Here is a 23,180-nt window from a genome sequence, read left to right on the forward strand (position 1 = left end):
ACTGACCTCTTGGAAGTAGTGTTTCCTCCTTCTAGGCTCTGGGTGTCTTCTACCTTCTTAGGTACTTTGTTCCCTCTATTTTCATTAATTCACTTTTTCCTTTCACTTATCCCTTTTGTCTCTTGCTCAACTCAAAGGGAGAAACCCTCCCTTACGTCTACGTAGTATTTTAGCTGTTCTTCTAATGCCCTATACCTCACTGATGCTCCCTTCATTAGAATCCCTGAGAACCCCCATGTTGCCAAAGCACTTCTCACCTCATTTCAACTTGGCAATTCTGTGGTATTTAACAGAACTTACCATTTCTCCTTCCTAAAACCCTCCCCTCCTGTGGCTTCTGTGATGCCAGAACTTCTTGCCTTTTCTGTTACCTCTCTGACCACTCCTGTTTAGCCCAGCAGTTAGGAGCATGAGTTCCTAGTGACACACAATTTGAGTTCTTATCCTAGTTCTATTGCTTTCTAGCTATATGGACTTAAGAAAGTTACTTAATCTCCCTGTGCCTAAATGTCTTCATCTCCAAAATAGGCTTCTAATAATCTCTACTTCAATTAGTGTTACAATTGAGGATCAAATAGCTTAATAAAACTGCACTTGAAACAGAGTAAGTACTGTTATAAATATTTTCTGTTGTCATTCTTATTGTCATCATCATCATTACTAGTAGTAATATTAGAGCACCTATCACGATACTGTAATGATTCAATTATTTGCTTATTTTTGTTTCTCCAATTCCTTAACCCAGTGCCTAGGAGTGAAATTAGATAAACACATGTTTGCTAAGAGAATTTCTGGTACAGGAATAAACTAGTTAACTCTTTTTTTGCTTCTTAGGAAGGGGTCATTTCCTATGAGCCCCCAATAATGGGATTGTAGGGGCTGTGGGTCCTTACTTGTCAACCGTGTTGAGAGTGAAGGAACTTGATAAGCACTTGTCACTGTTCCCAGCTCAACGCTCTCTGTCATTCTGGTATCCAAAATGGGTGATGAAGATGTCCTGCCTGGTTGGCTTGAAGTGTCCAAAGTACTGACCATAACCAAGCGTCCTTCAGTAGTGCTGCTCTCTGTCCCAAGACTGGTGTCCACTCTATATGGGGTAGCTGAAGAGGAAGTTATCTCATGGAGGGCTGGGATGGTTGAAGAATCAGTGGTAGTGAAGGTTGAAGAGGAGAATGGCACAGGAGTGGATGAAGGCAGGCTCTCTGCAATGGTGGACAGAGTAGCATCCCCAGGGCCTGACTCTGTCCTAGAGAATGGACTACCTGAACCTGAGATGGCTCGTGGAACTCCAGTGGTGGCAAATGAAGTCATGGCCTCTGATAGAGAAGGCATCACTGTGCCAGTGGAAATAGTCTCAGCTGAAGGCAGCAAATCTGTACTCAGATGATGAGTACTTTCTGTTACAGACATAGTAAACCTGGATTCTGGGAAGGAGGTTATCCCAGTGGACTCCGTAATAGATGGAGAAGCATTAAAGGGGGTGATTATGTCCACTGGAATTTCAGTATACTGTGAGGCTGGAGGCCAGTCTGGGGATGATGTTTTTGCAGAAGAGGTGAAATCAGTCTTGGAACTCTGTAAAAGGTGAGTGGACCCAGGAGAAGAAGGTGTATTTGTTGGTGTGACTGAGCTGGTGTCCAGGGACATGTTTGTCTTCCTAAATCCAGAAGTCAAATGAGAAAATGGCTCAGCCTCAAATCCTGTGGTCTCAAAATTAGCAGGCATTGATGTGGAAATAGAGGTTTCAGCCATGGAAGAGGGAGTACCCACTGGGTATGTAGCCTTGGATGGCTCCGAGTGGATTGAAACAGAGGAATATAGTTCATGTCCAGAACTGGTGGTTCCCACATTGGTCACTGCCATGCTTGAAGAAGGATGAATTTTCTCTGTATCTGTGGTGACTTCAGAGGCAGCCAGTATTTCAACTGAGGTGCCACTCAGATTTGGAGATAAACTGGTTCCAGGTTCTGTGCTTGTGTCTGTAGTCTTCACCATGCCTGGGGTGAGGAGTGAAGTCACAGAAAAAGAGGAGGAAGGGATACTCTGCGGTAATGTGGAAGAAACAGAAGGTGAGGTCGTGACAGGTAAGGACAACAGAGAAGATGAAGAGCTAGTTTTTTCCACAAAGAGAGAGCTCTTCCATGATGGATTTTCAGGACTCCTACTCATAAGAGTTGTCATCTCTGAGTGTAAAAATCTAGGAGGAACAGTTGAGTGGGTCCTTGCCAAGGGGGCTGTTGTTGTGGCCAAGGTAAGAGTACTCTGTGCTGTAGCCCCAGGAGAACTTTTTTGGGTGGTGATGGTCATTTGTGTTGATTCTGACATCATGGATGAGGAAGAGAGCCTGGTGATCACTTCAGTGATGATGTCTGGAGACATCGTGGACTGATCAGAGTCAGGGATGTGTATTCTATTAGAGGACATGATTTCTGTCATGGAGACTTCAGTAGTAGCACTAGTGGGCACTCCATAAAGGACTGCACTTGTTTCTGTGATTGAGGTGGTCTCTTCAGAGGTGCTAGTCTCCCTGAATCCAGGAGTCAATGAGAATGTTGGCTCTGTCGGAATCCTCCTAGTCTCAGAGAAGGCAGGATTTGATGTGAAAACAGTGGTATCGTCCACAGCGGAGGTGATACCCATTGAAGGTATGGTTATGGTTGTTTCTGAGTCAGCTAGGACAGAGGAATGAGATTCATGAACAGAACTGGAGGTCCTCACTTTGGCCACCGCTGTGTTTGAGGAAGGATGAATTTTCTCTGTATCTGTCATGATTTCAGAGGTGGCCGGTATTTCAACTGAGGTGCTGCTCAAATTTGGAGATGAACTGGTTTTAGGCTCTGAGCTTGTATCCAACACTTCTGTAGTCTTCACCAGGCCTGGGAGGATAAGTGAAGTCACAGGAAGAGGAGAGGAGGGGCTACTGTCTAGTAATGTGGAGGACACAGGAGAAAGTGAGGTCGTGAGAGGTAATGATGTCAGAGAAGAGGAAGATCTAGTTGTTTCCACAAAGCGAGGGCTCGTCCATGACAGACTTTCAGGACCCCTGCTCATAAGATTGGTCATCTCTGAGTGTGAAAGTCCTTGAGACATAGTTGAGTGGGTCCCTGACAAAAAGGTCATTGAGGTGCCCAAGGGAAGGGTAACCTGGGATGTAGCCAGAGAATAACCTGTTTGGGTGGTGATGGTTATTTCTGCAGATTCTGTCATGATGGGAGAGGTAGACAGCCTGGTGACAACTTCATCGGAGATGTCTAGTGACATTGTGGACTGAGCAGGGCCAGGAATGGATGTTCTGCTAGAGGGCATAACTTCTGTCCTGGAGACCTCAGGAGTGGCACCAGAGGGCATCTTGTAAAGGACAGTGCTTGTCTCTGTGGATGAGGTGATGTCCTGGGAGGTTCTGGTCTCCCTCAGTCCAGGGGTCAGAGATGACATTGACTCTATCTCAATCCTTGTAATGCCAGAGGAGCCAGGCATTGTTGTGGAAACCATGTTGTCTCTTATAGAGGAAGAGGTGACCACTGGAGATATCACTTTTGTTGGCTCTGAGAAGCCTGGGGAAGAGGAATAGAGTTCCTCTGTAGCACTGGTGGTTTCCACATGGGACGCTGCTGTATTTTCAAAAACGTGAATTGCCTCTGTCTCCGTGGTGGCTTTAGAAGCGGCCAGACTCTCATCTGAGGTGATATTCATATTGGGAGCTGAAGTGGTCTCAGGTTCCAAACTTGCATCCAACATGTCTGTGGCCTTCATCATGATAGAGGTGAAAAGAGAAGTGACAGGGACAGGAGAGGAGTGGCTACTCCCAGATGGTGTGGAATAAAGTGGCGAAGGTGAGGTTACTGAAGATGAAGATACCAGGGAAGATGGAGGGCTGTTTTTTTCCACAGACAGCGGGCTTGGCCATGACACATCCTCAGGACCTCTGCTCATAGGAGTTGTCACCACTGACTGTGGAAATCTCTGAGTTGTAGCTGAGTGAGTTCCTGGCCAGGAGGCTGTGCTTGATGAGTCCAAGGTAAAGGTACCCTGCGAGGTAGCCCCAGAAGGACCTGTTTTGGGGGTGATGGCCATGTCTGTTGATTCTTTCCTTGTGAGGGGGGTAGAAATTCTAGTGATGGTTTCCATGGAGGTGTCTGATGACATTGTGGATTGAGCAGGGCCTGGGATGGATGTTCTGCTAGAAGAGATGGCTTCTGTCCTGGAGACCTCAGTAGTAGCACCAGTGGGCACACTAGAAAGGACAGTGCTTTTTTCTGTGGCAGAGCTGGTCTCTTCAGAGATGCTGGTCTCCATCAACCCAGGAGTCAGTGAGAGCTTTGACTTTGTTTGAATCCTACTGGTGTCAGAGAAGGCAGGGGTTGATGTGAGAACATTTGTATCTCCTGTGGGGTAGGTGATACCCATTGAAGATGTGGCCTTTGTTGTCACTGAGTCAGCTAGGACAGAGGAAGGAGATTCATGTGTATAACCTGAGGTTACCACATTGGTCATCTCCAGTTTCTCTGTATCTGTAGTGACTTCAGTGATGGCCAGTATTTCAGCTGAGGTGCTGCTCAAATTTGGGGGTGAACTGGTTTCAGGTTCTGAGCTTGTGCCCAACAGCTCTGTGGTCTTCACCAGCCCTGAGGTGAGAAGTGATGTCACAGGAAGCGAAGAAGAGTGGATGCTGTCTGGTAATGTGGAAGAAACGGGAGAAGATGAGGTCATGACAGGTGAAGACAGTGAGAAAGAGGCAGAGCTGGCTTCTTCCACAGAGGGATGGCTTAGCCATGGCACATCTCCAGGAGTTCTACTCATAAGAGCGGTCATCTGTGAGTGTGAAAATCCTTGAGATGCAGTTGAGTGGGTCCCTGACATAAAAGTTGTTGAAGTGTCCAAGGTAAGGGTACCCCTTGATGTAGCCCCAGGAGAACCTGTTTGGGTGGTAATGGTCATTTCTGTAGATTCTGTCTTGATGGGGGAGGTAGAGAGCCTGGTGATCACTTCAGTGGATATGTCTTGTGACATTGTGGACTGATCAGGGCTAGGTCCTCTGCTAGAGGACATGACTTGTGTCATGGAGTCCTCAATCGTGGCACTAGTGAGTGCCTTGTAAGGAACAGTGCTTGGCTTTGTGGCTGAGTGGATCTCCTGGGAGGTGCTGGTCTCCCTTGGTGTGGGGGTCAGGGTGGATGTTGACTCCATCTCAATTCTTGTTATCTCAGAGGAAGCAGGTATGGTTGTAGAAACAATGTCTTTTATGGTGGAAGAGGTGACCACTGGAGATGTCACTTTGGATGGCTCTGGGAGGCCTGGATAAGAGGAATAGAATTCTTGTCTAGCGCTGATGGTGCCCATCTGAGTCACAGCTGTGTTTTCTGAAAGCTGAATTGCCTCTGTCTCCATGGTGGCTTTAGAAGTGGCCAGACTCTCATCTGAGGTGATATTCATACTGGGAGGTGAAGTGGTCACAGGTTCCAAGCTTGTGTCCAACATGTCTGTGGTCTTCATCATGACAGGGGTGAAAAGAGAAGTCACCCGGAGAGGAGATGAGTGGCTACTCTCAGATGGTGTGGAATAAAGTGGCGAAGGTGAGGTTACTGCAGATAAAGACACCAGGGAAGATGGAGGGCTAGTTTTTTCCACTGATGGGCGGCTTGGCCATGACACATCCTCAGGACCTCTGCTCATAGGAGTGGTCATCCCTGAGTGTGGAGATCTGTGAGTTGCAGCTGAGTGAGTTCCTGGCCAGGAGGCTCTGCTTGATGTGTCCAAGGTAAAGGTACCTTGTGAGGATGCCCCAGAATGACCTGTTTTGGGGGTGATGGTCATTTCTGCTGATCCTGTCGTGGTGAGGGGAGTAGAAATTCTAGTGATGGTTTCCGTGGAGATTTCTGGTGATATTGTGGATTGAGCAGGACCTGGGGTGGATGTTCTGCCTAAGGAGAGGGCTTCTGTTCTGGAGACCTTAGTAGTAGCACCAGTGGGCATTCCAGAAAGAGAAGCACTTCTCTCTGTTGCTGAGCTGGTCTCTTGAGAGGTACTGATCTCCCTTAATCCAGAAGTCAGGGAGGAAGTTGGCTGTGTCATCATAGTTTCTGGGAAGGCAGGAGTTGATGTGGAAACACTTGTATTCCCCAGAGTGGAGGTGGTAGCCATTGGAGATGTGGGTTTTGTTGTCACTAAGTCAGCCAAAACAGAGGAAGGGGATAGATGTTTATAAATCACAGTCCCTACATTGACTACAGGTGTGTTTGAGGAGGGATGAATTTTCTCTCTATCTTTGGTGACTTCAGACGTGGCTAATATTTCAGCTGAGGTGCTGCTCAAATTTGGAGGTGAACTGGTTTCAGGTTCTGAGCTTGTGCGCAACATGTCTGTGGTCTTCACTGGGCCAAGGGTGAGAAGTGCAGTCACAGGATGAGGAGAGGAGGAGATGCTCTCTGGTAATGTGGAGAAAAAAGAAGTTGAGGTCATGGCAGGTGAAGACAGTGAGGAAGAGACAGAGCTGGCTTCTTCCACAGAGGGAAGGCTCGGCCATGGCACATCTCCAGGAGTTCTACTCATAAGAGTGGTCATCTCTGAGTGTGAAAATCCTGGAGATGCAGTTGAGTGGGTCCCTGACCAAAAGGTTGTTGTTGAGGTGTCCAAGGTGAGGGTACCCTCTGATGTAGCCCCAGGAGAACCTGTCTCAATAGTGATGGCACTTTCTGCTGATTCTGTCATAATGGGGGAAGTAGAAAGCCTGGTGATCGCTTCAGTAGAGATGTCTGGTGATATGGTGAACTGATCAGGCCCTGACATGGATGTTCCCCTAGAGGATATCACTTCTGTCCTGGAGACCTCAGTGGTAGCACCACTGGGCACTTCAGAAAGGACAGTGCTTCCCTCTGTGGCTGAGCTGATCCTCTCAGAGCTGCTGGTCTCCCTCAATCCAGAAGTCAGGGAGGATGTTGGTTCTATCTGAATTCTGCTGGTCTCAAAGAAGTCAGAAGTGGATATGGAAACACTCGTTTCCCCCATGGTGTAGGTGGTACCCATTGGAGATGTGGCTTTGGGTGTCTCTGAGTCAGATAGGACAGAAGATTGTGATTCATGTCCAGAAATGGAGGTCCTCACGTTGGTCACTGCTGTGTGTGTGGAAGGCTGCATGTCTTCTGTATCTACAGTGTCTTCCAAAGTGGTCAGTCTCTCATGGGAGGTGCTGCTCAAATTTGAAGTGGAACTGGTTCCAGGTTCTCTGCTTATGCCCATCCTGTCTGTGGTTATCACCAGGCCAGGGTTGAGAAGAGAAGTCACAGGAAGAGAAGCGGAAGGGAAATCCTCTACTAATGTAGAGGAAACAGGAGAAGGTGAGGTCGTGGCAGGCAGAGACAGCAGGGAAGAGGCAGAGCTGGTTTCTTCCACAGAGGATTGACTAGGCCATAACATATCACCAGGGCTTCTGCTCACAAGAGTGGTCATCTCTGAGTGTGAAAATCTCTGAGTCACAGTCGAGTGGGTTTCTACCCAGTTGGGTGTTGTTGATATGTCCACAGTATGAGTACTCTCTGGTGTAGACCCAGGAGGATCTGTTTGTGTCTTGATCATCATTTCTGCTGATTCTGTCATTATGCTGGAGGTAGGGAGTCTGGTGATGGTTTCTGTGGAAGTCTCTGGTGACACTGTGAGCTGAGCAAAGCCTGAGATGGATGTTCTGCTAGAGGAGGTGACTTCTGTCCTGGAGACTTCAGCAGTGGCACCAGTGGGCACTCCAGAAAGGACAGTGCTCATCTCTGTGGCTAAGCTGGTCCCCTCAGAGCTGCTGGTCTTTCTCAGTCCAAGGGTCAGGGAGGATGTTGGTTCTGTCTGAATTCTGCTAGTCTCAAAAAAGCCAGGAGTTGATGTGGAGACACTCGTATCCTCCATGGTGGAGGTAATAACCATTGGAGATGTGACTTTGGATGTCTGTGAGTCAGCTAGGACAAAGGAAGTGGATTCATGTCCAGAACTGGAGGTCCCCACATCGGTCACTGTTCTGTTTGAAGAAGGATGAGTTTTCTCTGTATCTGTGGTGACTTCAGAGGTGGCCAGTATTTCAACTGAGGTGCTGCTCAAATTTGCAGGTGAGTTGGTTACAGGTTCTGAGCTTTTGTGCAACATATCTGTAGTTTTTGCCAAGCCAGACGTGAGGAGTGAAGTCACAGGAAGAGGAGAGGAAGAGATGCTCTCTGGTAATGTGGAGGAAACAGGAGAAGGTGAAGTTGTGGCTGGTGAAGACATCAGAGAAAAGGAAGGTCTAGTTTTTTCCAGAAGGGGAGGGCTCATCCATGATACATCCTCAGGACCCCTCCTCATAAGAGTGCTCATCTGTGAGTGTGAAAATCCTTGAGATATAGTTGAGTGTGTCATTGTCAAAGAGGTTGTGCTTGACGTGTCCAAAGTACTGGTGCCTTGTGTTGTGGCCCCTAAAGGACTTGTATGGGTGTTCATGGTTATTTCTGCTGATTCTGTCATGACAGGGGATGTAGAGAACCAGCTGACGGTTCTTGTGGAGATGTCTGGTGATATTGTGGATTGAGCGGGACCTGGGATGGAGGTGACGTCTTCCTTGGAGATCTCAGTAGTAGCACCAGTGGGCACTTTAGAGAGGACAGTGCTCATCTTGGTGCCTGAGCTGGTCCCTTCAGAGCCGCTGGACTCCCTCAATCCAGGGGTCAGGGAGGAAGCTAGCTCTGTCTGAATCCTCCTAGTCTCAAGGAAGGCAGGAGTTGATGTGAGAACACTTGTATCCCCCATGGTGGAGGTGGTACACATTGGAGATGAGTCAGCTAGGACAGAGGACTGTGATTTATATCCAGAGCTGGTGGTTGCCACATTGGTCCCTCCTGTGTTTGTGGAAGGATGCACGGCTTCTGTATGTGCAGTGTCTTTGTAAGTGGTCAGTCTCTCATGGGAGGTGGTGCTCAAACTTGAAGATGAACTGGTTCCAGGTTCTGTGCTTGTACCCAAGATATCTGTGGTTGTCGCCGGGCCAGAGGTGAGAAGTGAAGTCACAGGAAGGGGAGAGGGGGGGATATGTGCTAGGAATGTGGTGGAAACAGGATGAGGTGAGGTCACGGCAGGTAAAGACAGCGGGGAGGATGGAGGGCTGGTTTCTTTCACAAAGGGAGGGCTAGGCCATGACACACCTCCAGGACCTCTGCCCATGGAAGTGGTCATCTCTGGGTGTGGAAATCCCTGAATTACTATAGAGTGGGTTTCCACCCAAGAGGGTGTGGTTGCTGTGTTCAAATTAAGGGTACTTTCTAGTGTAGACTCCGAAGGACCTGTTTGGGTTGTGATGGTCATTTTTGCAGATTCTGTCAGGACAGAGGAGGCAGAAATCCTGGGGATGGTTCCTATGGAGATGTCTTGTGACATTGTGGACTGCTCAGGGCCTGACATGGATGTTCTGCTAAAGGAGATGGCTTCTGTCCTGGAGACCTCAGTAGTAGCACCAGTGGACACTTTAGAAAGAACAGTGTTTGCTTCTGTGGCTAAGCTGGTCTCTTCAGAGGTGCTGGTCTCCCTCAATCTGGTGGTCAGTGAGGAAGCTGGCTCTGACTGAATTTTCCTAGTGTTAGATAAGGCAGGAGTTAATGTAGAAACACTTGTATCCCCCATAATGGAGATGGTACCCATTGCCGATGTGGCTTTGGTTGTCTCTGAGTCAGGTAGGACAGAGGAAGGGGATTCATGTCCAGAACTGGAAGTTCCAACTTTGGTTACTGCCGTGTTTGAGAAAGGATGAATTTTCTCCGTATCTGTGGTGACTTCAGAGGTGGCCAGTATTTCAACTGAGGTGCTGCTCAAACTTGGAGGTGAACTGGTTTCAGGTTCTGCACTTGCGTCCAACACCTCAGTAGTCTTCACTTGGCCTGGTGTGAGAAGTGAAGTCACAGAAGCAGAAGAGGAGTGGCTACTTGCTGGTAATGTGGAAGAAACAGGAGAAGGTGAGATCATGGCAGATAAAGACAGCTGGGAAGATGGAGGGCTTGTTTCTTCCACAGGGAGAGAGCTGGGCCGTGGCACATCCCCAGCACCTCTACTCACAAGAGTGGTTATCTCTGAGTGTGGCAATCTCTGAGTCATAGTCGAATGGGTTATTACCAAGGAGGGAGTGGTTGATGTGTCTAATGTAAAGGTACTCTCTGATGTAGACCCAGGAGGACTTGTTTGGGTCTTGATGGTCATTTCTGATGATTCTGCCAGGATGGGGGAAGTAGGGAACTTAATGATTTTTCTTGTGGTGGATATTTCTGGCAACATTGTGGACTCAGCAGAACCAGAGATGGATGTTCTGCTAGAGGAGGTGACTTCTGTCCTGGAGATCTCAGTAGTAGCACCAATGGACACTTCAGAAAGGACAGCACTTGTCTCTATGGCTGAGCTTGTCTCCACAGAACTGCCTGTCTCCCTCAATTTAGGGCTCAGGGAGGAAATTGACTCTTTCTGAATTCTGCTAGTCTCCAAGAAGTGAGGGGTTGATATGGCAACAGTTGTATCCTCCTGGGTGGAGGTAATAAACATTGGTGATGTGGCTTTGGATGTCTCTGAGTCAGCTAAGGCAGAGGAAGGGGATTCATGTCCAGAGCTGGGAATCTCCACATTGGACGCTGCTGTGTTTGTGGAAGGATGCACAGCTTCTGTATTTGTGGTGTCCTTGCCAGTGGTCAGTCTCTCATCTGAAGTGTGGCTCAGCTTTGGAGGTGAACTGGTTACAAGTTCTGGGCTTGTGTGTAACATGTCTGTGGTCGTTACCGGGCTAGAGGTGAGAAGTGAAGTCACAGGAAGAGGAGAGGAGGAGATAGTCACTGGTAATGTGGAGGAAATGGGAGGAGGTGAGGTTGTGGCAGGTAAAGACAGCAGGGAAGGGAGAGAGCTGGGATTTTCCAGAGAGGGAGAGCTTTGCCATGACATATCTCCAGGACCTCTGCTCATGAGAGTGGTCATCTCTGAGTGTGGAAATCTCTGAGTCAAAGTTGAATGAGTCTTTGCCTGGGACTTTGTGGTGGATGTGTCCAAGGTAAGGGTATCCTGTGAGGTAGACCCAGAAGGACCTGTTTGAGTGGGGATGGTCATTTCTGCTGATTCTGTCATGGTGGGCGAGGCAAAGAGCCTTGTCATTGTTCTTGTGGATATTTCTGGCAAAACTGTGGACTGAGAAGGGCCAGGGATGGATGTTCTACCAGAGGAGGTGACTTCTGTCCTGGAGACCTCAGCAGTAGTACCAGTGGGGACTTCTGAAAGAACAATACTTGTGTCAGTGGAAAAGCTGGCATTTTGGGAAATGCTGGTCTCTCTCAGTCCAGGAGTCAAGGAATATGTTGACTCTCTCTTAATTTTTGTAGTCTCAGAGGAAACAGACATTGATGTGGAAACAGTTGTATGCCCCATGGTGGAGGTGGTATCCATTGGAGCTGTGGCCTTGGTTTTTTCTGAGTCAGCTAGGACAGAGGATTGTGACCCATGTCCAGAACTGGTGGTTTCCACATTAGTCGCTGCTGTGCTTGTGGAAGGATGCATGGCTTCTATAGCTGTGGTGTCTTCATCTGTTGTCAGTATCTCATGTGAGGTACTGCTCAAATTTGGAGGTGAACTGGTTGTAGGTTCTGGGCTTGTGCCCAATGTGTCTGTGGTCATCACTAGGCTAGGGGTGAGCAGTGAGGTCATAGGAGAAGGAGTGGTGTGAATGGTCTTTGGTAATGTTGAGGAAACAGGAGGTGAAGTCATGGCTGGTGAAGGCATCAGGGAAGAGGAGAAGCTGGTTTTCTCTATAGAAGGAGGGATTGTCCATGATAGAATCTCAGGGTCCTTGTTCATGACAGTGGTCATTTCTGAGTGTGGAAATTCCTGAGTCGCCATCGAGTGTGTTCCTGCCCTGGAGGATGTAGTTGGTGTGTCCAAGGTAAATGTGCCCTGTGATGTAGAGCCAAGAGGAGGACCTGTTCGAGTGATGATGGTCATATTTGAAGATTCTGTAATGCCAAGGGAGATAGGCAGGCTGGGGATCACTTCAGTGGAGATGTCTGGTGACTCTGTGGAATGATCAGGGCCTGGAATGGATGTTCTTCTAGAAGAGGCAACTTCTGTCCTAGAGGTCTCAGTAGCACCAGTGGTCAACTTGTGAAGGACAGCACTTTTCTCTGTGGATACGATGGGGTCCTGGGAGGTGCTGGTTCCCTTCAGCCCATGAGCCAGGGAGAATGTTGACTCCATCTCAATCCTTGTAATCTCAGAGGAGCCAGGCATGGATGTGGAAACAATGGTGTCCCTTATGTTGAAAGAGGTAACCATTGGAGAGGTGACTTTGGGTGGTTCTGAGTAGGCTGGGACAGACGAATAAGATTCCTTTTCAGAAGTGGTGGTCCCCACATTGGTTACTGCTATGTTTGTGGAAGGATACATTTTCTCTGTATCTTTAATGTCTTCTGAAGTAGTCGGTATCTTATGTGAGGTGCTGCCCAAGTTTGGAGGTAAACTGGCCACAGATGCCAGCATATCTGTGGTCTTCACTAGGCCAGAGGTGGGGAGTGAAGTCAGATGAACAGGAGAAGACGGCCTACTTTCTGGTAATGTAGTAGGTACAGGGGACGGTGAGGTTATTGCTGGTAAAGACAGAAGGGAAGAGGAAGAGCTGGTTTTTTCCACAGAGGGTGGGCTTGTCCCTGATATGTACTCAGGAACTCTACTCGTAAGAGTGGACAAATCTAATTGTGAAAATCCATGAGTCATAGCTGAGTGGGTCCCTGCCTGTGAGGTTGTGATTGATGTGTCCCAGGTAAGGGTACCCTGTGATGTCGCCCTATGAGGACCTGTTTGGGTGGCAATGGTCCTTTCTTCGGATTTTGTCAGGCCAGCAAAAGTAGAAAGCATGGTGACAGATCTTGTGGAGGTGTCCGGTGACATTGTGGGCTTTTCAGTGCCTTGGATGGATGTTCTGCTAGAGGAGGTGAGTTCTGTTCTGGAGACCTCAGTAGTAGCAGCAGTGAATGCTTTGTCAAAGACCGTGCTTGTGTCTGAGGATGAGCCAATTTTCTGGGAGGTGCTAGTCTCCCTCAGTCTAAATATCAGGGAGAAAGTTGTCTCAGACTCAATCTTTTTCATCGCAGAGGATCTAGGCATTGATGTGGAAACTATTGAGTCCCCCGAGGTGGAAGTGATAACTACTGCGGATGTGGCTTTATATGGGTCTGAGTCAGGTGAGACAGTAAAATAGAATTCATTTGGTGAACTGGTGGTCCCCACATTGGCCACTGCTGTGTTTATAGAAGGATGCATTGTGTGTGTATCTGTGGTGGCTTCTGAAGTGGCCAAGGTGTTCCTTAAATTTTGAGGTGAACGAGTCACAGGTTCTAAGTTTGTGTCCATGTCTGTGATCTTCGCCAGTGTAGGGGTGGGTACTGAGGTCACAGAAACAAGAGAGGAGGTACTGTGCTCTTGCAATGTGGAAGTTACAGGAGAAGGTGAGGTTGTCACAAGGAGAGGTGCCTGAGAAGAGAGAGAGTTGGCTTCTTCTGCAGAGAAAGGGCTTGTCTTCAACACATCATTGAGATCATTGTTCATGACACTGGTTGTTTCTGAATCTACAAAATCCTGAGTTCTGGCTGATGGAGTTCCTGCTGAGGTGGCTATGGTTGATGTGTCCAGGGTCAGTTGGCCAAGAGATGTCACCCCAGAAGGACCTGTTTGTGTGGCGATGGTCTTGTGTGTAGATATTGTCAAGGGAGGAGAGTTAGAATGACTGCTGCTGGCTTCAGGTGAAATGTCTGGGGACTTTGTTGACTGAGCAGAAGCTGGCATGAATGTAGGATCATAGTAGGTGACTTCTGCCCTGGAGACCTCAGTAGCAGCATCCAGGGACACACTGGAGAAAACAGTGTTTGACTCTGTAGTTGAGTTCATCACCAGGGCGGTGCTGTCCTCTTTCAGTTCAGGAGTCAGAGGGGATGTTGAGTCTCTGTCAACATTTTTAGTCTCAGGAGAACCAGGTGTTGATGTGGAAACAATAGCGTCCTCCATCATAGATCCAGTAACCTTTGGAGGTGTGTGTCCGGATGGCTGGGAGTGGATTGAGACAGAGGAATGTAGTTTATGCATAGAATTGGTGGTCCCCATATTGGTTTCTGCTGTGTTCTCTGAAAAGTGAATTGTCTCTGTATTTGTGGAGGCTTCAGAAGTGAGTATCTCACCTGAGAAGCTACTTGCACTTGGTAAGGAGCTGGTCACAAGTTCTGAGTGTGTGTCCAACATGTCTATGGTCTTCCTCCTGCCAGAGGTGAGAAGGGAAGTCACAGGGAGAGCAGAAGTGGGGCTACTTCCTGATACTGCGGAATAAAGAGATGAATGTGAGGTTATTGCAGGTAAAGGCACTGGGGAAGAAGGAGAACTGGTTTCTTCCACAGAGGGAGGGCTTTGCCATGACACGCCCTTAGTACTTCTGCTCATAGTAGTGGTCTCCTCTGAGTGTGGAAATCTCTGAGTCACAGGTGAGTGAGTCCCTTCCCAGGAAGCTGTGCTTGATGTGTCCAGGGTAAGGGTAGCCTGTGAGATAGTCCCTATAGGACCTGTTTGGTTGGTGATGGCCATTTCTGTGGATCCTGTTACAAAAGGAAAAGTGGAGAGCCTGGTGATGGTTTCTGTGGAGATGTAGGGTGACATTTTGGAATGATCAGGCCCTGAGATGGTTGTTCTGCTGGAAGTGATAACTTCTGTCCTGGAGACCTCAGTAGTAGTAGTAGTGGGCACTTCTGAAAGGACAGTGCTGGTCTCTGTCACAGTGTTGATCTCCTCAGACGTCCTGGTGTCCCTTAATCCAGGAATCAAAGAGGATGTTGATTCAGTCTGAATTCTAGTCTCAAAGAAGGCAGGAGTTGATGTAGAAACACTTGTATCCCCCATGGCGAAGGTGATACCCATTGGAGATGTGGCTTTGGATGTGTGTGAATCAGCTGGGACAGAAGATTGTGATTCATGTCCAGAAATGGAGGTCCCCACGTTGGCCACTGCAGTGTTTGTATGCATGGAAGCATGCATGGCTTCTGTGTGCGCAGTGTCTTTGTAAGTGGTCAGTCTCTCCTGTGTGGGGCTGCTTAAATTTGGAGGTGAACTCGTTACGGGCTCTGGGCTTGTTGTGCCCAATACATTTGTGGTTGTCACCAGAACAGAAGTAAGAAGTGCAGTCACAGGGAGAGGAGAGGAGGGGATGCTCTCTGGTGATGTGGAGGAAACAGGAGAAGGGGATGTCATGGAAGGTGACATCAGGGAAAACCCAGAGCTGGTTTCTTCCACAGGGGGAGTTGTCATCCATGACACATCTCCAGGGGTTCTGCTCCGAAGAGTGGTTATCTCTGAGTGTGGGAATCCCTGAGACACGGTTGAATGAGTCCCTCCCTGGAAAAGTGTGGTTGATGTGTCCCAGGGAAGGATACCCTGTGATGTAGCCCCAGGAGTAGTTGTTTGAGTGGTGACGGTCATTTCTGCAGATTTTGTCATGATGGGGGAGGTGAAGAGCCTGGTGATCATTCCTGTGGAGATGTCGGGTGCTATTGTGGGCCGATCAAGGTCTGAGATGGATGTTCTGCTAGAGGAGATTTCTGTTCTGGAGGCCTGAGTAATAGCACCTGTGGGCACATAAGAAAAGGCAGTATTTGTCTCTGTTGTTGAGCTGGTCTTCTCAGACGTGCTGCTCTCCCTCAGTCTAGGGCTCAGGGATGCTGTTGGCTCTGTTTGAATTTGGTTAGTCTGAGAGATATTAGGAGTTGATGTGGAAACACTTGTGTCCCCCAGGGTGGAGGTGGTACTCATCAGAGGTGTGGCTTTCGATGTCTCTGAGTCAGCTAGGACAGAGGATTGTGATTTATGTCCAGACCCGGAAGTCCCTACATTGGTCACTGCGGTGTTTGTGGAATGATGCATGGCGGCTTCTGTGTGTGCAGTGTCTTTGTAAGTGGCCGGTCTCTCATGAGTGATGCTGCTCAAATTTGGAGGTGAACTGGTTACAGACTCTGGGCTTGTTGTGCCCAACACATCTGTGGTTGTCACCAGAACAGAAGTAGGAAGTGCAGTCACAGGAAGAGGAGAGGAGGGGATGCTCTGTGGTGATGTGGAGGAAACAGGAGAAGGGGATGTCATGGCAGGTGAAGACATCAGGGAAGACACAGAGCTGGTTTCTTCCACAGGGGGAGTTGTCATCCATGACACATTCCCAGGACCCATGCCCATGAGAGTGGTCACCTCTGAGTATGGGAATCCCTGAGTCACAGTTGAATGAGTCCCTCCCTGGGAAAGTGTGGTTGATGTGTCCAAGGGAAGGGTACTGTGCGATGCAGACTCAGGAGGACTTGCTTGGGTGGTGATCGTCATTTCTGCAGATTTTGTCTTAATAGAGGAGGTGAAGACCCTGGGGATCTCTCCTGTGAAGGTGTCAGGTGGCACTGTGGACTTATCATGGTCTGGGGTGGAAATTTTGCTAGAAGAGTTGACCCCTGTACTGGAGACCTCAGTAATAGTACCAGTGGGGACTTTGGAAAGTAGAAAACTTGTGTCCGTGGGAAAGCTGGACTCCTGAGAGGTACTGGTCTCTCTCAGTCTAGGAGTCAAGAAATATGTTGGCTCTCTCTTAATGTTTGTAGTCTCAGAGGAACCATGCACTGGCATTGATGTGGAAGGAGCTGGATCTCCCACAGTGGTGGTGATAACCATTTGAGTTGTGGCTTTGGGTGTCTCTGAGTCAGCCAGTGCAGGGGAATGGGATTCATGTCCAGAGTTGTTGGCTTTCACATTGGTCTCTTCTGTGTTTATAGAAGGAAAAATTTCCTTTGTGTCTTTACTGTCTTTAGAAGTGGCCAGTATCTTATCTGAGGTGCTGCTGAAATTTGGAAGTGAGCTGGTCACAGGTTCCAAGCGTGTACGTAATATGTCTGTAATCTTCACTAGGCCAGAGGTGAGAAGTGAAGTCATAGGAGAGGAGAGCTTATCCTCTGGTAAGGTAGAAGAAATCAGGGAAGGTGTGGTCATTGCAGGTGAGGACAGAAAGGAAGAGGGGGAGCTGGTTTTATCCACAGAGGGAGGACTTGTCCATGATACATCCTGTGGAATTCTGCTCATAAGAGTGGTCACATCCAATTGTGAAAATCCATGAGTCATAGCTGAGTGGATCCCTGCCTGGGGGGTTGTATTTGATGGGTCCATGGTAAAAGTATCCTGTGATGTAGCCCCATGAGGACCTGTTTGGGTGGTGATGGTTATTTCTGCAGATTCTGTCATTATTGGGGAGGTAGACAGCCTGGTGTTGGTTTCTGTGGAGATGTCTAGTGACACTGTGGACTGATCAGGGCCAGGGAAGGATGTACTGCTAGAGGAAGTGACATCTGTCCTGGATACCTCGGTAGTGGCACCAGTGAGCTCTTTGTAAGGAACAGTGCTTGTCTCTGTGGACGAGGTGATCTCCTGGGAGATGCTGGTCTCCCTCAGTTTAGGAGTCAGGGAGGAAGTTGTCTCAGTCTCAGTTCTTGTAGTCTTAGAGGATTTAGGTATTGATCTGGAAATTGTGGTGTCTTCCATGGTGGAGGTGGTAACATTTGGAGATGTGACTTTAGATGGCTCTGGGTAAGCTGAGACAGTAGAATGTGATTCAAATGCTGAACCGGTGGTCCCCACATTGGTAACTACTGTGTTTATGGAAGGATGCGTTGTCTCTATATCTGTGGTGGCTGCTGAAGTGACCGATATGTCATCCAAAGTGTTGCTCATACTTTGAGGTGAACTGGTCACTGTTTCTAAGCTTGTATCCACCTTGCCTGCGGTCTTTACCAGTGAAGAAGTAAGAACTGAGGACATAGAAACAGGAGAGGAGGTACTGTGCCATTGCGGTGTGAAAGCAACAGAAGAAGGTAAGGTTGTGACAAGGACAGGTGCTTGAGAAGAGGGAGAGCTGGCTTCATCCTGAAAGGGAGGGTTTGTCTGTGACACGTCCTTGACATCATTGTTCATTGCAGTGGTTATTTTTGAGTGGGCAAACCCCTCAGTCACCACTGATGGAGTCCCTGCTGAGGTTTCCAAGGTTGATGTGTCTAAGGCAAGTGGAATCTTTGATGTAGCTCCAGAAGACCCTGTCTGGGTGGTGGTCATGTGGGTAGATATTGTCATGGGAGGAGAGTTTGAAAGTCTACTGCTGGCTACTGAGAAAATATCTGGGAACTTTGTTGACTGAGCAGGAGTTGGTATGAATGTTGCATCAAAAGAGGGGACTTCCATTTTTGTGGCTTCAGTAATAGCCCCCACAGACACATTGGAGAGGATGATGTTTGACTCTGTAGTTGAGTTCATCTCCTGGAGGGTGCTGTTCTCTTTTCGTCCAGCAGTCAGGGAGGATGTTGGCTCTCCCTCAATGTCTGTGGTCTCAGAACCAGGTATTGATATAGAAGCAAGAGCGTCCCCCATGCTGGAGGCAGGAACCATTGGAGATGTGGCTGTAGATGGTTCTGAGCTGACTGGGAGAGTGGAATGCAGTACATGTGCTGAACTGGCAGTCCCCATATTGGTCACTGCTTTGTTTATGGAAGGATGAATAGTCTCTATATCTGTGGTGGCTGCCAAAGTGGCCAGTATCTCATTTGATGGATTGTTCAAATTTTGAGGTGAATTGGTCACAGGTTCCATGCTTGTGTTCAACATATCTGTGGTCTTCACCAGTCCAGAGGTAAGAACTGAAGTCGCAGAAACAGGAGAGGATGTATGTTGCCCTTGTAACGTGGAAGTGGCAGGAGGTATGGTTGTGACCAAGAAAGGTGTCAGGGAAGAGGGATAGCTGGTTTCTGCCACAGAGGGAGGGCTTGTCCAGGACACATCCTTGGGACCTTTGCTTATGAGAGTGGTCTTCTCTGATTGCATAAAATCTGGAGTCACAGCTAATGGAGTCTCTGTCAAGTAAGGCATGGTTGATGTGTCCAAGAGATATGGACCCTGTGTTGCAGCTCCAGTAGGACCTGTTTGGGTGGTGATGGTCACTCCTGAAGATTCTGTCATTATCAGAGAGGTGGAGGGGTTGGTGCTCACATCTGTAAATGTGTTGGTAGAAGTTATAAACTGATGAGGGCTTGAGATGGATGTTCCGCTAGAGAAAGTGGCTTGTGTCTTGGTGACATGAGTAGTAGCATCACCACTAGACACATGGGTAATGACAGTGCTTGTCTCTGTAGCAGAGCTGGCCACCTGGGATGTGCTTCTCTCCTGAAGTCCCTGGTTCACAGAGGACACTGTCTCAATCTCTGTGGTCTCGGAGGAGCCAAATACTGATGTGGAAGAAGTGATGTCCCCCATGATGTGGGAGGTAACCAATGGAGATGTGGCTTTGGATGGCTTTGTATGGCCTGGGATAGGAGAATATTCAGAACTGGTTGCCTCCATATTCGTCACTGCTGTGTCTGCAGAATGATGAATTGCCTTTGTATCTCTGGAGGCTTCATAAGTGGATAACGCCTCACCTGCTGTACTGCTCAAATTGGGAGGTAAACTTGTGCCAGGTTCCAAGCTTATCCTCGACATGTCTGTGGTCTTCCCCAGGCCAGAGGTCTCAGACAAGAAAACTGAGGTCACAGGTGGAGTAGAGGAGGGACTGTGCCCTTGTGATGTCAACAAAATATTGGAAGGCGAGGTTGTAGCATGGATAGGTACCAGGGAAGAGGAAGAGCTGGTTTCTTCCACAGAGGGAGGGCTTGGCTGTGATGTATCCTCAGGACCTTTGCTAAAGAGAGTGGTCTTCTCTGAGTATGTAAATCTCTGAGTCGTAGCCAGTGGAGTCCCTGTCCAGGAGGCTGTGGCTGATGTATCCAAAGTAGGTGCACTTAGTGATGTAGCGCCAGGTGGACTTGTTTGCATAGCAAGGATCATTCCTCCAGATTCTGTCATGGCAGGAAAGTTAGACAGCCTGGTGATGGCTTCTGAGGGGCTGTCTGACGACCTCATAGACTGGGCAAGGAATGAGCTGGATATTCTCTTAGAGGAGGTAATTTCTGTTCTAGGCCCCTTGGTGATCGCAGTGGAACCTGGGGAAGAGATAATACTTGTTTGTGTGGTTGAGCTGGTGTCCATGTAAGGGCTGACGTCCCTCAGTTCAATAGTCAAGAAGGAATTAGGCTCTGTTCTAGCCCTTGTAGACTCTGGCCATGTGGTTGTTGACATAGAAACTATTGCTTGTTCCCTGGTGGAGGTTGTAACCACTGGAGATGTGAGTTTGGATGACGCTGAGTGGGCTGGGATAGTGGAATGAGAAGCATGTTCGGAACTTGTGACCCAGCCTGTGGTCTCTACTGTGTTTGTAGAAGGGTGAATTGCCTCTTTGTCTGTGGTGGACTCAGAAGGGGCAATTCTCTCATATGGGCTGCTTTTCCAACTTGGGGATGAAGTCGTCCCAGATTCCAAGTTTATGTCCAGCGTATTCAGGGTCCTTAATACACTGGAGGAGCTGGTAACCTCCTTGATGGTATCTTCTGAGACAGAATTCATCATCTCAGTGATCCAAGGTGCACTTGGGGTTGATTTTTCTTTCTCATTCCAGGAGTCAGATGTAGCTCTTGCCTCTGTTGTAAGAGCTGTCTGCCCTTGTCTCTGAAAAGTTGCATCTGGAGTTTTTGCTGTGTGTGGGATCACATCCAGAGTTGTTGCTGCTGATCTGGGCACCTGCCCTGGATGTGCAGAAGTGGTGGTGGGAAGCTGAGTGGAAGTCTGCTCTGCCTTTTTGCTTGTGGGATCTGGTCTTGAAAAAGTAACTCCAGAGCTCCTTGCCATTGCAGCTGGTGTGACTGCACTTGTAATGTGCCCTATAGAGAAGGGCAACTGTGAGGTAGCTGGGCTGATCATGGTTTCCAAAGTGAGTTCCTGGGGAGTTGTGGCCCCCTGAGGAGCTGAGGTAGTGGCTGTGGCTGATGACAGAGATCTCCCAGTGTCCCAGTCAAGAGTGGACAGAGAATCAAACAGAAAAGTGGACAGGGGCGTATTTGGGTCAGTCTTTGTACTAGCATGATCTGTAGAAACCATTGAAACAGGCACATCTTCTGCTTCTGTACTACTGGGAGTCCAACTTGTACTTAAAATGTCAGGAACTGAGATGCTCATCCTCTGGACACGAGAAAAAGTTGAGATGGGAGTAGATGCAGTTGTGTCTGAAGGACTCAATGTTCTTTCACTTGTACTGGTCTCTGTCTTTACAGCTGAAGCATCAGAGGATGGAGTGACCAGGCTGGTTCCAATGACAGTTATACGGCCATGGGGAGTAGACATGGAGTCTAATTCAGTGCTTGAGGCTAAGAATGAAGTTGTATGCATTGTGGAAATTGTTCCAGGAGATCTTGCAACTTTCAAGTTTGAAGTCATGTCTGTGACAGTCCAGGAATCTGATGCAGCTGTGGAAGACCAGGTGGAAGGGTGTTCTGTAGAAGTTGTGCGCCTCTCTGTGGCCGGGGTGCTGTCCATGGTACTCATACCCACTTCTGGGTTGGGTGTGGTAGTTGAGATTGAGTTGGTTCCCATGGTGGTGATGGTGGTGGAGATACCTGGAGTAGGAGCTGTGGTTACGTCCAGGATGCTCACTTCCGCAGGAGATGAAGTCTGAGATAGATGCCCAGCAGTAGGGGCAATGTCACTTTTCACTGCACTTACATTGGCCCTCAGAGTCTCAAGCCCTATTGAAGGAGATGTGACAGATGACGCAGAGCTTGTTTTTCCTCCTGAGGGATTGGTGAGGCTTGTAATGCCTTGGTCTCCAGAGGGCAGAGACACTAGTGAGGTGGTTTGTGCTGTGGAGGTGATGTATAATGTGTTTGTGACATCAGGAGATGCACCAAGGGTGATGTCACTCCCAGATGTCTGATCTGACCAAGAACTAGTTGATGAATAAGCCTCATCCACAGATCGACTTGTCTGTTGTTCAGCTGCCATTATCTTATTATTCAGGACAGTGGAGGGAATGGCTGTGGTGCTTACCCATGTCTCGGTTTTATGTTTGGATTTATCTGTCAATGAGCTCACAGAGTTTGGGCTGGTTACAGGGTCTTCAAGGATATTGGAAGATGTGCTCAGAGAGACATGTGTGTCCCCTGTGGTCCCTCCAGTAGAGCCATGCCACATAGAGAATTCCATTCCAGTTGTCTTTGAAACCAGTTCTGGACTGCTTTGCTGACCAGTCCCTGTGATGCTTCTAGCAGTTGGTGACTCTAGGGAGACAGAGGACATTGTGGCCAGTGACTGCCTGGTCCCTCCTGGAGTTCCAGAATAAAGGTTGGTCCAAGCCTCAGGTGGGGATGGGGAGAGGGAGACCCTTTCTGTAGCCAACATATTTTCTGTTGGTGACTTGGTTGGTGATGTGGTTCCTGTGGGCAGGTGAGAGATGCTGGTGCTGCCACTTCCTAGGGCTGTGGACTGAAGGGTGACTGGTTCCACTGTGGTCTCCATGGGAACAGTTGTTTCTGGAGTCTTCCAAGGAGAATTTCTCACAGTGGACCTGATCTCTGGGCTGATGCTGGGTTCCTTGGAGCTCATGATTTTGAGAGTGGTAGACATTTCTGGGCTTCCTGGGGATGTGCCTGTGATTAGAAAGTAAGTCAGTGGAGTATATGCAAATGGTACAGAAGATGAAGTTTTTTGGTTTGACACTATCATTCATTTCCTCCCGGGATTTCAATTAAAACTATTTCCTCCTTCTCTGGGAAAGAAAATGTTGAGCTTTTAATTCTCACACTTTAAGCCTCTGGACACCAGGGAACACATTAAACATTCCAAGGGAGATGGTGAAGTTAGAGCTTTGACCATCTGGCTTGCTCAGGAGAAATTATCACCTTTAGCTCAGTTTTTCCCCATGCCCCATATAAAAGGGCTCTTTGCATAAGGGAGGATGTGATGAACCAGGACTTCACCCATGCAAGAGGCTACCCCCAAACTATTTCCACTTTTGTCTTTGGAGCTTGCCCTTGCCAAACCAATTTCAGCTTCCAACTTTCAGCCTCCTCTAGGTTCCCCCAAATCTTAGTTCACTGCAAAGCTACTTAAGGATTTGAGAAGAAAGAGGATAAGGGAGATGAGCTCATTCTTTCTCGTCACCTTCATTTTCTTTCAAATTCATTCCTCCCTCTGAATCCTTTCCCTGTCCTTCAGGAAAATAACATCTACCTGTCAAAGGA

At 48.3% G+C, this 23,180-nt stretch overlaps 1 protein-coding gene across 4 annotated transcripts in view, besides 1 other annotated feature; it reads right to left on the minus strand.

Moving 5' to 3' along the window:
* MUC16 (mucin 16, cell surface associated) overlaps positions 1 to 23,180 on the minus strand; it is a gene marked incomplete in the record, with an annotated part of 216,908 nt that overhangs the window by 95,760 nt on the left and 97,968 nt on the right. For all 4 annotated transcript variants that reach the window (NM_001414686.1, NM_001401501.2, NM_001414687.1 and 1 more), the window contains 1 exon segment: positions 894 to 22,586. In NM_001414686.1, coding sequence (NP_001401615.1) covers positions 894 to 22,586 — 21,693 coding nt within the window.
* Positions 15,206 to 16,405: an enhancer, noted in NCBI's record as "P300/CBP strongly-dependent group 1 enhancer chr19:9070485-9071684 (GRCh37/hg19 assembly coordinates)". NCBI's record gives its function as "activates an origin of replication core promoter dependent on BRD2, BRD4, P300/CBP, MED14 and CDK7 cofactors, with strong dependence on P300/CBP, by STARR-seq in HCT116 cells {active_cell/tissue: HCT116}" and the evidence as "EXISTENCE:reporter gene assay evidence [ECO:0000049][PMID:35650434]".

This window comes from Homo sapiens, chromosome 19 (genome assembly GCF_000001405.40).
Source record: "Homo sapiens chromosome 19, GRCh38.p14 Primary Assembly".
Lineage (NCBI taxonomy): Eukaryota > Metazoa > Chordata > Mammalia > Primates > Hominidae > Homo > Homo sapiens.